This window comes from Homo sapiens, chromosome 22 (assembly GCF_000001405.40).
Source record: "Homo sapiens chromosome 22, GRCh38.p14 Primary Assembly".
Lineage (NCBI taxonomy): Eukaryota > Metazoa > Chordata > Mammalia > Primates > Hominidae > Homo > Homo sapiens.
Window position 1 is genome coordinate 43827270 of NC_000022.11, and position 13796 is coordinate 43841065.

Genomic DNA, 13796 nt, shown 5'->3' on the forward strand with positions numbered 1-13796 from the left:
GACCTCAGGTTTTTCAAACTGCAACCCTGCAAATGCTGAGCTAAAATACCCAACGTAACACGGACTTTCTCTTTGGTAACAAAAAATTATCAGTGTTGGAGAGAAAAACAAGAAAAATTATTCTTGTAACCCTTTAATGATACCTAAGGGGCAAAATTAGAAGCTGCTAGAGCAACCAAACTATTTTTCCATGATTATTTTTCTCAGCTGAGACAGCTGAGAGCTCGTCAGAGGAGTCACCCACCTGGTTTAGGATTTGGAATCAAGACAATTTATGCTGTGACATGAATCAAATCTAAGCAATGCAGCTGGCTACTCGGCCCTGCATTCTCACCAACTCAAGAAGATCTTCCGAGCAAAGACGCAATGTGCTAAAAGAAAACAAATCAAAGAACTGAAATAAAGCAAAACCAAGGTAAACCATGATAAAGCAAACCCAAGGGAAGGAGCATATGGGCACACAGTATGTTCTCGACGCTGCTTCACCACACACACACACACACACACACACACGTGAACCAAAAGGGGTATTTTGGAGAAGGTCACATCCAAGGATAACAAAACACAGCAAAAGCAAAACTAAAAAAGAGCAAATAAATGTTAAATAACAAATATTTATGAAAATGCAGCCAGGAAAGAAGTCGAGAGGGACTGTGGTTCAGTTCACTTCCTCCTGAGGAGTCCACTGCTCTGCCTTTATAAGAGACGGCACTTTGCACTTGACCTTCAAACCGCCCTTAGCCGTGATCAGCCCCTTTTCAGAGAAGAACAAAAAGCCGCAGAAGCTGAAGGCCTGACCTATGTTGCGTTCCCAGAGGGCAGCAGAGCTGAGCTGGAGCCCAGCGCGTCTCTCATCCGCCCCAGGCATCTCCCACTCCATCTTGTGGGGCTGCTGCTGAACAGAGCCATCCACGTTTCTGGGCCCTCCCTGCAAACATTCTCAACCCAGGAAGTGCCCAACACACCAAGTGTCCATCAGGTTCATACTTACCAACAGGGGGCCTCCTATGGCCAAGGCCAGCACCCTGGGATTCAGGGGTTTTAGAGCCTGGGCTCTCCATCATCAAAGCCAAATGCCACACACCCTTAAGGACAGGGGGAGCAACCCAGGTGGATCTGGGGAGGATTCCTGTCAGGAACACTGTCCCCATCTCCAGCTGCCTCATGCCCACTGTCACTTGCCGCCAAGAGCAGGAACTGGCCTCCCTCTGTGCAGCGGCTTAGCTTGGTACTGTCTGCTTAAGTTCACCACCCCGAAGTGGGGCTAGGCCTCACCTGTGCTGCCTGCACCCAGAAGATGCTCAGTCAGCGTCCACTCAGTGAAGGAAGAAAAACGGTGTCTCCTAACTTCCCGCCCACTTCATTTAACTCTCCCACAAGTCAGTTAGAGACTGAGAAACCCATCAGCATGCTTTGCGCTTTGACATGTCATAGCACCAAACCCAGTCCCTGGATCTGCTCTGTGGGGCGTTTGATTTCAGGCCATCTGAGTAGACTCCCTGCTGAGAAACATCCCGCCCACAAAGCCTGAAATGCACTTTTTCAAGTCAAAACACTGTTTGCTTGGAGGCAATGCAAACACCAGCGGGCAGGGTACTCCGTCACTCCATGAGCACTGTGCCATCCATGGGCACCAGCTAACAGAGCACAGGCCATGGGCCAGCTACAGACTGCTGTAAAAGGAGAGCAGGGAGGGCAACAGGGACCGGACTCGGCTCCCTAAGCAGGCAGAGAAAGCAGCCTGGCTGGGGTGGGGAGTGCCTGGGCGGGAGGCAGGGTGGGGCACGTACCCCGGCCCACGGGCAGGGCCTCAGCGTTGCAGCACTGGTCCACCAGCTGGTGGCAGTGCTCCGTCAGGGCTTCCAGCTGGGCCTTGTCACAGGACACCCCCAGGAATCTGGCCAGCTGCTCCACCATCGTCACCAGGTCCTGGAAGACAAGTGCAGAGAGCAGAGCAGCCCATCAGAGGCGGGGCCTTTTACTGGACACGACCCCAGGCTGGGCACACGCTGAGGACTTTTTACACACGGCCTTCCTTACTTAATGCTCACAAGGCTGACATCAGCCTTGTCCAGAAATAACACTAAGAGGTTAAGAAATCGCCCAAGTGTGCTCAGCTCTCACGTGGAGATCTTGAATTCAAACCCTGGTCCTCCAGGGAATTGGGTTGCAGACATGAGGTCTTAATAGAGGTGTGGTTAAGTTTTAACAGGAGCAAGAAGTAAAAAACATATTTCAGAACATGGTTCTTGTGAGGAGCAAGACCTAATGGGCTCCTCTTTCCCTTCCTGCTGCCTGTCAGCTGGCGTCTGGGCTGGCCCTTGGGAGCGCAGGGAGGCCCCTCTGGTCTCCAGATGGCCCTGCACTGGGCAGGGAGCCCGCTTCATCACAGGCAAGATTCCGTCATGCCTGCCATACCCTGCCCCATTATTTTACCACGCCTGACAGCGGAATGTCACTGATGTGGCTAACCGTCTTGAGGGGGCCATTCCCCAGCCCCCCACCCCTGCCACTTTCTCCCCAAGAGATGAGGCTCCTCGTCTTCTCAATCACAGCCCTGAGCTGTCACCTAGAGGTGCCTTGGTCCCATTAGGAAGATGCTGGAGGCTGTTTCCTCTCTGGAAGGTTTGTAAAGCAAATTCCCGCATTAAAGCCTCTAAAAAGTCCTACAGTGAAAAGATGATTTAATTTCTTTATTGCAGCACTTCGGAAACCTTAAAAGACAATGTTCTCTGACCGCTGGTGTGGGAGTCAGCTGGTGTGGGCGCCAGCTCCTCCCTGGGTCCCCACAGTGCGCTGACTCCTGCAGCAGCGGTTGCAGGTCTGATTCTGGCCTCGCACTGCCTTCCACAGGCAGGGGTGTGGTGCATCCCGGGCGCAGGGCTTGACTCAAGAGTCAGAGGAACAGTTATTAGAGAATGAGCCAAGGAATACAGAGCTCCCTTTCCCTTGCCCTGCCACCAAGAACTCCATTTCAAAGAAAAAGGGTAGCAATGGAGAAAGAGTGAAGAAACCTGGCTCTCAGAAGAGATGCCGCAAGAAGGACACAGCTGGCTTAAAGTCAGCCTGCTGGAGCGTTCAGCAGAATCCTCGTGGGGCAGCTCACTGCGGCGTGACGTCCATCTCAGAGGAAGGGGCGTTTCTGCCAGGCTACATCCAGCAACATGTCACAGGACACTTGCTGGTTATGAAACCCAGCAGGGATCAGGCAGAACGCCCAGGTCAGCTGGCAGGAACGGCCCACTTCACCTCTCTGAGCCACACATTCCCCATCTGGAACTAGCGACAGGGCCGCAGCAAGAGGCCGCACACCACGGCACGGAGCCAGCGTGTTGGGGTCGTGCCTCCACATGGGCAGGTACTAGCTGGCCACACGGTTGCAGTCAGGGCACCCCGTGACTGGTGAGAACACCCTGCAAGATGACTGAGGATGAAGTGGGAATATACCCGGGGTGCCTGGCACAGTGCCCGGCTCGTGGGAAAGGGCCACTGTAATTGCGGTGCAGTGGAGCGCAGGCAGTGAGCGCTCTGGCAGGAAGCATTCCCTCTCAACCCCAGGGTGAGAACACATGGACCCACACCACAGTCCTGGAGACAACCATGCTCACTCGGGGCTAGTTTTCTGGAGTAAGATGTAAACAATATTAATTCCTAAAAATGTGACTTGACCTCCATTAAAACAAGCCATTACTGAGGTTCCTAAAAAAAGAATAAACCCATGCCAATTAGAAGGCGAAACGCTGACTGTCCCAGGGATGCCATTGAGTCACAGACCGGCTTTGATAGAAAATGAAGTCCCAGCACTGACCCCGGCAGCTCTTAAAGTTCCAGGCAGGGCTGGTGGCCTTGACCCTGACGGACTGAAAGCAACAGGTCTGACCACTTTCACTGGGGAGCCTGGAAGGCAGAGAAGGATGAACTTCCCTTTAAGGGCTTGGAGTAAAGTGTGTGTTTGGACCTTAAAACTTCAGTCCATCATTGCTGAGGAAACTGAAGCTCCAGGAAGAAACTGCTGACCCGGCAGCTGCCCCCGAGATGTGTGGGCAGCTGGCCAGCTGGGCGCTTTCCCTATTCACCTTCTCATGTTGGGGCCTCAGTGGCCCTGGGCAGTGCATGTTCAATGCTATGTCATTGGTGGCAAAATAGTGACCAGCTGACAAATGCACACCCAGGACCCCAGAAATTCCACTCCTGGGTATGGGCCCGATAAGCACAAGTGCTGACGTCCACCAAGACTCCAGAACGTCCACGGAGGCTTTATTCATGACCACCCCAAAGTGAAAATGGCCTCCACGCCCGGCAACACTGGATGGATGAAGCGGTGGCACATTCGTGCTGCAACGGAGCACCGACCACAGCACAGGAAAGAACAGAGCTCCGCGCCACGCAGGTGGAGGAGCCTCGCCATCTGCGCAGAAGCCAGACAGCAAAACCCATGCGAGTTCCACACCTGACAGGTTCCAAAGAGGCAACGCCAAGCTCCGGTGAGGGAGATGAAACCGCGGTGGCCTCTGGGAAGCAGGGGTATCAACTGCAAGAAGCTGGAATGTTCTGGATCTGGAAGGTGGCTGCCCAGATGTGACAGGTAAAAGGCTGTCAAGCCCCACGTGTGTGCCAAGTACACCTCACTGTGCATGACACCACCACAAAAAGGTACACACCAGGCGGGCCCGTGCCAGGCCTGCACGTAGGTGATGCTCACACAGTCCTCCCAGCCACACAGTGACGGGGGTGCTGTCACCTCCCCACTTTACAGAGGCTTGGGGTGGTCAGGACTTTGGCCTGAGCAGCCAGCATCCAGAGCCCACGTTGTTCCCCAGCACCACAGGAAACCACGGCCGACGGCTTCACAGAGGTCAGCGGCAGGACCAGGGTTCCAACCTGCTTGGGCTACACCTTCATCTCTACCACACCGTCCTCTGGGCGTGAGCAGGGACCCTAAATGTGGCTCTGTGTCAAGTTGTGTGGACAAGAGGCAGACAGGTGGAGGCCCATGTAGAGTCAGACAGGCTCACCCAGCAGTCGGCTCCATGGCGCGTGTGACCTTAGACCGCCACATGACCTTGCTCTTTCCTCACCATAACACAGAGCCATGGTGAGGACCCATGTGGGGAACCGACAGCATGCGCCAGCCGGCAGCAGACCTGCAGACGGGGTCCTTCCTGCACATCGAGCAAGCCCCGAAAGGCCACGCTCCTGCGAAGGCCGACCTGGCCCGTGCTGACCACAGGCCCCAGTGTGTGAGCACAAAGCAACCCAAGAACAACTGCAGGAAACGCAAGGCACACCCCCACACCCCAGGATCACAGTGCACACACCCCCACCCCGGGGCTACAACGCACACACCCCCACCCCAGGATCACAGTGCACACACCACCCGCCCCAGGGCCACAACAAACACCCCACCACCCCAGGGCCACAAGGCACAGCCCCCACCCCAGCGCCATAGGGGACCTCGTGTGGCTCTGTTCACAGCCAGGTCTGGCGTCTTCCTGCAGGTGTGGGGAAAGTACAAGGCTGGCCTTCCTACCCCTGGGCTTTCTGACCTCCAACTCCAGCACTGGCTCACCCTCCCCAGCACCCAGCTCTCCTGTCTGTCTCCCAGCAGACCTCCTCCCCATCCCAGCTCCCACCCACTGCTACTCAACCTAAACCTGCTTGTCTGTCAGCCACTGACACTAGCAGCCCCACAGGCTGGCCTTGTCTGTCCCCTACATCGACATGGTTTCCAGCTGGCACTCAGGCCTCTGCCCCACAGGAGCAACCTCACAGTCCACATCTGCACCCCATCGTCTCTCCTCTTTCCCATGGGCCAGGCCACAGGTGTCTCCTGCCTGTCCTGCCCCTGCCACCAGAAGCCCCTCTGCCTAGGCTCCAGCCCCAAGCCCTGCCTCTGCCTGGACTAAGACCTTGTCCCATTAGTTCTTTTCAACCCCTCCCCCAGCTCCTGCTTTCTCCCAACACCTAGAAAATGCTCAGTCTCTTCTGTGGTGACCCAGGCTCCCCAAGCTACCAGCTGCCTCGTGTCTCACTGCAGACAGTGGCCTCTCCTCAACGTCCCATCAACCACCACTGTAAAGCACTCCAAAGGCCCCCTGATAAGCCAAGCCCCAGTCCCCTCCCCACACCCGCCTTCCTGGGTCCCTCAGCCTCGCACGGCATGGCTGCCCTGCCACACCTCAGGCTTTGACAGGCTGCTCCCCACACCCCCAAGCCCCCTTCCAGCCCACAGACTGTCCCGCCCCCTCCTCTGTCCCTCCTCAGACCCCTCCTCCTCCTCCCACACGCCCACTGTAAAGGGCTCCTGCGTCAGGAGCTGCCAGGCCGAGGGCCAGGGCACCCGGAGGACAGCTGCTCCGGCAGCACTCACCCGATGCATGTCTTCATACTTGAGAAAAAGCACGTTCGAGTCCATGCGGTGCTCCCAGAACTCCTGCACGTGCTCAAACCAGGAGCCGTAGCCCACTGCGGAGACAGGGGACAGGGTGAGCCACACGGCTGGGCAGGAGAAGCGCACACATGGGGCCATCCCCACCCCACAGGGCTGCCCTCCTGCCACCCAGCAGCCGTGATGAGGACATCGTGATCCCTGCGGACAAGTCTGGCAAAGGCCCCCGAGGCACTCACGTCTTGAGCCATCCCAGCCCTCCCGCCTTCGGCACGCCTTGAAGGCCTGACCATGGGGGTGACAGCCTCTGAGAAGGTGGTCCCTGTGGTACCTGGCAGTGGACCGCAACAGTGCCCGTTACTTTATCCGCTTAACAAGTGGTCACCAGGAAGCCCTGGAACAAAGCCCAGAAGAACTGGGACAGGGGCCGCTAGGGTTGCTAGTGGGGACAGGGTGGGGTATAGGAAGCTGTAGGACAGATCCAGAACACGGGGCCCTGCTGGGCAAGAGGGCGACAGGCAGTAGCCTCAGTAAATCGAGGAACTCTCCATGGGACCTGAAAGCTGAAGACGGGCAGGGAGTCCTGTCCTGACCTCCAAGAGGCCGGCACTCCCGCACCCACACCGCGGCCCTGTGCTTCCCGCGCCCCCACCGCGTCCCTGTGCTTCCCGCGCCCCCACCGCGGCCCTGAGCTTCCCGCGCCCCCACCGCGGCCCTGAGCTTCCCGCGCCCCCACCGCTGCCCTGAGCTTCCCGCAGCCACACCGCGGCCCTGTGCTTCCCGCGCCCCCACCGCGTCCCTGTGCTTCCCGCGCCCCCACCGCGGCCCTGAGCTTCCCACGCCCCCACCGCGGCCCTGAGCTTCCCGCGCCCCCACCGCTGCCCTGAGCTTCCCGCAGCCACACCGCGGCCCTGAGCTTCCCGCGCCCCCACCGCGTCCCTGTGCTTCCCGCGCCCCCACCGCGTCCCTGTGCTTCCCGCGCCCCCACCGCGGCCCTGAGCTTCCCGCGCCCCCACCGCGGCCCTGAGCTTCCCGCGCCCCCACCGCTGCCCTGAGCTTCCCGCACCCACACCGCGTCCCTGTGCTTCCCGCGCCCCCACCGCGTCCCTGTGCTTCCCGCGCCCCCACCGCGGCCCTGAGCTTCCCGCGCCCCCACCGCTGCCCTGAGCTTCCCGCAGCCACACCGCGGCCCTGAGCTTCCCGCGCCCCCACCGCGTCCCTGTGCTTCCCGCGCCCCCACCGCGTCCCTGTGCTTCCCGCGCCCCCACCGCGGCCCTGAGCTTCCCGCGCCCCCACCGCGGCCCTGAGCTTCCCGCGCCCCCACCGCTGCCCTGAGCTTCCCGCACCCACACCGCGGCCCTGTGCTTCCCGCGCCCCCACCGCGTCCCTGTGCTTCCCGCGCCCCCACCGCGGCCCTGAGCTTCCCGCGCCCCCACCGCTGCCCTGAGCTTCCCGCAGCCACACCGCAGCCCTGAGCTTCCCGCGCCCCCACCGCAGCCCTGAGCTTCCTGCGTGGCCTGCGCTGCCTCAGAGCCCTTGGTGTGGGGTGGGGCACACAGGCAGGGACCAACTCATGGAGTCTCCAGCCTGCTTTGCAGTGTTCTTTATAAAAGCTATGGATCCTCCCCTGCCTGCCACATGCCGTGCCCACCACTGTGACGGTTTCTTCCACGGGGACCTCCATACGACAGAGAGCAAGGCGTCAGTTAAGGATCACTGGGCAGTCGGGGGCTGGCGGTGCTAAGCAGCAGGAAGCAGCCCAGCTGGATGAGGAGCGCTGGCTGTAGAGACTCCTCTGCTGGGCCCTGCCACCCGGCAGGATTCCCACGGAGGAGCTGCACCCACATCCCACCAAAACCTCCAATTTCTGCAGAATAAAGCTGAGTCCCAGAGAAGGGAAGAGACTTGCCCAAGTCACCAACAGGTCAATAATCATGGGGGCCCAGACAGGGAAGCCCAAGTGGCCCGACTGCAGCCCATCATCGGTAGCTAAGTCCAAGCAGATGAGTCCCTGGGGCAGAAGGAAGAGTCAAATGGCCCTGTGAACACGGAAGGTAAAGAAAAACCCCACTTCATTCCAAGGAAGCATGTAGCAAGATGTCAAAAACAGACATCCCGGTGACATGGAGTTGCAGGGGGAAATAGTGTGAGGACTCTGGAAGGAGCAAGGCATGAAGGACTGCACGTGTGGTCCTGCGCTGATGTGAGGAGCAAGTGCACGGAGTCCCCACAGCAGGAGGGGGGACGGGAATGAGCTGTAGGTTGCTGGGTGGAGAGCCTTCCCACCGGAATGCCTGAGAGGAGGCGAGGACGCCGGGCCCCTCCACGCTTTTCCCTGGGCTCCACGCTGCTCTGTGAAAGGGAAGGGAATCATCCATCTGGAATATGAAGGAAGAATAACAAAACCTCACTGTCCACCCCAGAGAAGACACGGTCACAGAGGCTGCATGCCACACTGCGGGTGCCACAGGGAGCCTGTCTACACAGCGTCCTCACACTGCAGGTGCCACAGGGACCCTGTCTACACAGCGTCCTCCGACTGCAGGTGCCACAGGGACCCTGTCCACACAGCGTCCTCCAACTGCAGGTGCCACAGGGAGCCTGTCTACACAGCGTCCTCCAACTGCAGGTGCCACAGGGACCCTGTCTACACAGCGTCCTCACACTGCAGGTGCCACAGGGACCCTGTCTACACAGCGTCCTCCAACTGCAGGTGCCACAGGGACCCTGTCTACACAGCGTCCTCACACTGCAGGTGCCACAGGGACCCTGTCTACACAGCGTCCTCACACTGCAGGTGCCACAGGGATCCTGTCTACACAGCGTCCTCCAACTGCAGGTGCCACAGGGAGCCTGCCTACACAGCGTCCTCACACTGCAGGTGCCACAGGGATCCTGTCTACACAGCGTCCTCCAACTGCAGGTGCCACAGGGACCCTGTCTACACAGCGTCCTCACACTGCAGGTGCCACAGGGATCCTGTCTACACAGCGTCCTCCAACTGCAGGTGCCACAGGGAGCCTGTCTACACATCAAACTGAAGGCTCCACAGGGACCCAGTCTACACAGCATCCTCACACTGCAGGTGCCACAGGGACCCTGTCTACACAGCGTCCTCACACTGCAGGTGCCACAGGGACCCAGTCTACACAGCGTCCTCACACTGCAGGTGCCACAGGGACCCAGCCTACACAGCGTCCTGACACTGCAGGTGCCACAGGGAGCCTGTCTACACAGCGTCCGCACACTGCAGGTGTCACAGGAAGCCTGTCACGGGGCATCCTCACACTGCAGGTGTCACCTGCCTCCAGGGCCCTTTGCCCTCCAGCCTCGCAGAGCTGGTCACCAGGCTCACGCGTGGTTGTTTATGCAGGACCCTCCTGCTGTTGCCCTGTGCTGTGGCCTCTGATCCTGGCCTGTCTGGACATGGTGTGCTTTCAGGGTTCCCGTGCATATTAGTTTCCACCGTCTTCAGGACATCAGGGAGGGGGTCCAGCGGTCCTCAGTATGTGCGTGCTCACTGAGTGACAATGAAGGACGGAGCACAGGGGTGCTGAGTGGGCCTGTCTACAGGGTTTGCTGGGACCAAGGCACGTGTGTGGGACCTTGCACTCAGTGGAGGATGGGTCTGTGACTGTGGTGACATGGAGAGGCCTATATTAAGAGAACTGTTAACTGCTCTGGCCTGAGCAAGATGTTTGTAGCCTCTTCCACGTGCTGGTCTGAATGTGGGTGTTGTCCCCATGCTCTGCAGAGAGCAGAGTCCATGCTGGACCCTAGGAAACAGCTTCAGAAGTCCATGAGTGGGTTGCTCCAAATGCCTGGTGGACCACAAGAGCAGGTGCCAGGGCCAAGAGGCCATGGGAAGAGGGGCTGGACAGAAGGCCCAGAGCAGGCTCAGGGGGCTTCAGGGTGCGGTCTGGGGCCTCCTACCCCTTGCAGGCAGGGCCACTTCTCAGCAGGCACAGTGGAAGCAGAGGCTCAAGGGCAGGAAACAGAATCATCCCAGGGCTTTGAGGCCCTCGTGGGTTTTCAAACTGCAAGCAACAGAGTCAGCCTGTGGCGCCCTGCACCGCCCCGCCAAGAGGTCCCCTTCAACCAGGCCTGGCAGCAGCTCTAGGTCCACTGCCCTAAGTTCCACTTAAACTCGAGGGCATTACGTTCCAGGATCTCTGCTACATGATTCATCCTCATCCTGTCACATAAGCCCCCTGCAGAGCCCCCGATAAGCCACACTGAACAATGCGGCTCAGCATCACTTCCGTTGGGAAATAAAACAGAAAGTGTATTTTCAGCCTTGGGTAGGGAAGAGTCTCAGTGTAGATTTAATTAAAGTGCAGCTATTATGACACATTTCAAAGCTCCTCTGCCTGCACACCCTACACTGCCCACTTTCTGTCCCAGGACCTCCCAAAGCCATGGCTGGCCATGGGGAGCCCCCTCAGGAAGGCAGGAACAGAACTGCACTGAGGAGCTCTGCCACCACTCCCAAGGGAAAGGTGGCCCAGCGGGGCAAGAGAGTAAGGACTGGGAGCGAGTGGGACCAAGACAAGAGGCCTGGTCCCGCCTTCCTTGAGAGCAGGGCAGGGTGGAACCCAGCCTCGCTCCTCCTCAGGGGCTGGAATGGAAGCCAGAGAACAGCACATGGCACTCTCGGCCCGGCTGTCCTCCTCCCTGCGGGCACAAGTGTGCCCTGCCCCGGAGGCTTGCCTGTGCCTGAGGTTCAGCCCGGCTGTCCTCCTCCCAGCGGGCACAAGTGTGCCCTGCCCCAGTAGCTTGCCTGTGCCTGAGGTTCAGCCAAAGGCCCATGCCTGTCACACTTAGCTCCAGTCTCCACTCCAGGCCCTATCACTAACAGTAGTGATACCTGGGCCTCCATTTTTACTGTTTTCATTCTCTCCCTGTTTGAAACCCAGGTAGGAAGGATGGATGTTTTAACTGGGGAACTTCTCAGACACCCCGACAGTGTGGTAGAAGAGAAGGGCTCTGGGTTCAGATGGACCTGCTCTGACACACACCAGCTCTAGGATCTCGGCCACGTTCACGACCCTCGGCCTCAGTGTCTTCATCTGTAAAGTGACCGCGGGCCTGACCTACATGGTCACTGTCAGAACTGGAGACCGTGTCGGGGAAGCACCCAGCACCTGCCAGGCCGTCCACGACAACAGACGGCTCCGGTTCTAACATGCCGCCAGGCTGCAACACTCACGCTTATCATTCATAAACCTCCGGCAGAATTCTTGAAAGGTGCCTCGGTAGCTCATGGTCCGCAGAGAGCGGTGGAACTGATAATAAGACACCACCAGATCCTTGGGGTTGCGAGCCATATAGATGACCTGTGGGTGACAGGAGCAGGATGAGTCCGTGTCTCCTTCCCTCCCAGGCAGGGCTGCCCCGACACAGGCCAGCCTCCCTGAACCTGCTGGTGCACCTCACAAACCAACACCTGCTTCCAGCGTCCAGCTGGGGCCCATGTGCACGGCTGCTGGGTGCTGCTGCTTCGCTGTTTCAGCAGAAAGGTGCCCTGTCCATGCAGTAGAGCTGGCCAGGAAAATTACTTGAGCATTTTATTTCTGTCCTCTAGAACTACTTTAAAATCTGCAGAAGACAAAAAACTTACAACCCTGATCCTGGTGGTAAGAACACAGGCCTCTGGCCGGGTGCGGTGGCTCGCATCTGTAATCCCAGCACTTTGGGAGGCCGAGGTGGGTAGATCACCTGAGGTCAGTAGTTCAAGACCAGCCTGACCAACATGGTGAAACCCTGTCTCTACCAAAAATAGAAAAATTAGCCGGGTGTGGTGGCACATGCCTGTAGTCCCAGCTACTCAGGAGGCTGAGGCAGGAGAATCGCTTGAACCAGGGAGGCAGAGGTTGCAGTGAGCCATGCCACTGCACTCCAGCCTGGGCGACAGACTAAGACTCCGTCTCAAAAACAAAAAAACAAACAAACAAAAAAACCCCACAGGCCTTGGCATTTGATGCAATTGAAAAACAAAGAGAATTCGGCCCAAAGCAGGTACACGCCTGCTGGCCTGCTTTGGATTAGGCTGGCCACAGCCATGTTTGACTGTGAGGTAAAAACCAACCCGTCGTTAAAAACTTGGGTAAAATGCTAGAGACGCATGACCCAAGACCACCTCAGAAGGGATCTTCACGTGTGGGCTCCTTGGGAAGACAGCCCCCAAGGCCAGGTAAGTGCCAGGGACCTGCATGTGTATTGCACAGGGACCTTGGGCTCCTCTTGGTGGGGACTCATCTCGGGAGGCAGAGGAGGTGCCAGCTTACCTTGGAGTCTCCATTGTGGAGGTCAGAGGGCAGAAAGCGGTAGGGCAGGTGGCTCTTGATGAGGCGGGGAGAGGTCAGTTCCTGCGTGGAGTCAGAGGGAGAGGCAGGTCAGAGGAAAGGGTGAGACCAAGGGGAGGAGTGGGGCCAAGGGGAAGGGGGCCAGAGGAGGAAGGAAGGGGTGGGGTTCAGGGGAAGTGGAGTTATCAGAGGGAACGGCGGGTCTAGGGTAGCGGAGGGGTCAGGAGAGCGTCAGGTAAGAGGGAGGGGTGAGGCCAGAGGGAGGGGTAAGGCCAGGAGCAGGGGGACCAGAGGACGAGGGAAGGGGTGGGGGCCAGGGGAGAACGGTAGGGGTCAGAGGGAAAGGTGAGGCCAGGAGTAGGGAGGGGTCAGAGCAAGAGGAGGCAAGGCTGTCATGCCCTGGTCTCCTGTCCTGGAGAGAGTCTCGGACCCAGCCAGGACAGCCTCCCTTGTCACCTGAGACAAAGATTGGAGACATGAGCACACCCCGGCTGGACCCTGGCGGTAGAGACAAGGGTCCTTGACTTTGGCCTGGGGAGTCCACCCATCATAGCCACAGCCACAGGATCTGCTCAGGGGGCCTGGGAGCTACTGCCCCGGCTTGGAGTGGCGTCGGAGGGCAGCAGAGGCAGCAGGAGGCACCAGCCCCAGTGGGTGCTGCCAGGCTGGCGCTGGACCGCACAGCAACCTGGCCTGATGCGCTCACTGCTTCCACCTGCCCCTCGGGCCTTCCCATCAGCAGCCAGGGTTGTCCTGTAAAGCAGCCAGCACCGTGCTCTCTGCTCAGAGCCCGTCTTCCCAGCTGCCCTAGGAATGGGCCCAGCCCTCATGAAGCCAAAGAGCCCGGAACCGTTGCCTGCAACCCCCAGGCTTGCCTACTGCTCTGGAAGGCCAGGCCCCTCGTGCCGTGGGGTCTTTGCTCACGGGTCCCTCTGCTCCTCTCCTCTTTCAGGACCTGCCTCAGACATCCCCAGAGGAGACTGCTGGTCCCCCCCTGATCTGCTCCCCTCCCAGCGCTGATCGCTGGCTAGCTACTATGGCTTCCTGGGCTGAAAGGCCGGGCCTGATGCTGTCAGTCACTGCTGCCCCCAATGCCAAGAGCA

At 58.8% G+C, this 13796-nt stretch overlaps 1 protein-coding gene across 6 annotated transcripts in view, besides 1 other annotated feature; it reads right to left on the reverse strand.

Moving 5' to 3' along the window:
• SULT4A1 (sulfotransferase family 4A member 1) overlaps nucleotides 1–13796 on the reverse strand; it is a 38005-nt gene that overhangs the window by 2761 nt on the left and 21448 nt on the right. The window contains exons 3-7 of one of the 6 annotated variants that reach the window (XM_047441321.1): nucleotides 12676–12756; nucleotides 11598–11724; nucleotides 6371–6465; nucleotides 1791–1929; nucleotides 245–371 (exon numbers count right to left, since the gene is read on the reverse strand). In XM_047441321.1, coding sequence (XP_047297277.1) covers nucleotides 331–371; nucleotides 1791–1929; nucleotides 6371–6465; nucleotides 11598–11724; nucleotides 12676–12756 — 483 coding nt within the window. In that variant the 3' untranslated portion in view covers nucleotides 245–330. Of the gene's footprint in view, nucleotides 1–244; nucleotides 372–1790; nucleotides 1930–6370; nucleotides 6466–7826; nucleotides 8767–11597; nucleotides 11725–12675; nucleotides 12757–13796 lie in introns of those variants that run through there. The other 5 variants (NM_014351.4, XR_937839.4, XM_047441322.1 and 2 more) reach the window with 5 other exon arrangements.
• Nucleotides 717–1479: an enhancer, noted in NCBI's record as "H3K4me1 hESC enhancer chr22:44223866-44224628 (GRCh37/hg19 assembly coordinates)". NCBI's record gives its function as "activates a minimal SCP1, AML or CMV promoter by ChIP-STARR-seq in naive H9 embryonic stem cells {active_cell/tissue: H9 hESC(naive)}" and the evidence as "EXISTENCE:reporter gene assay evidence [ECO:0000049][PMID:30033119]".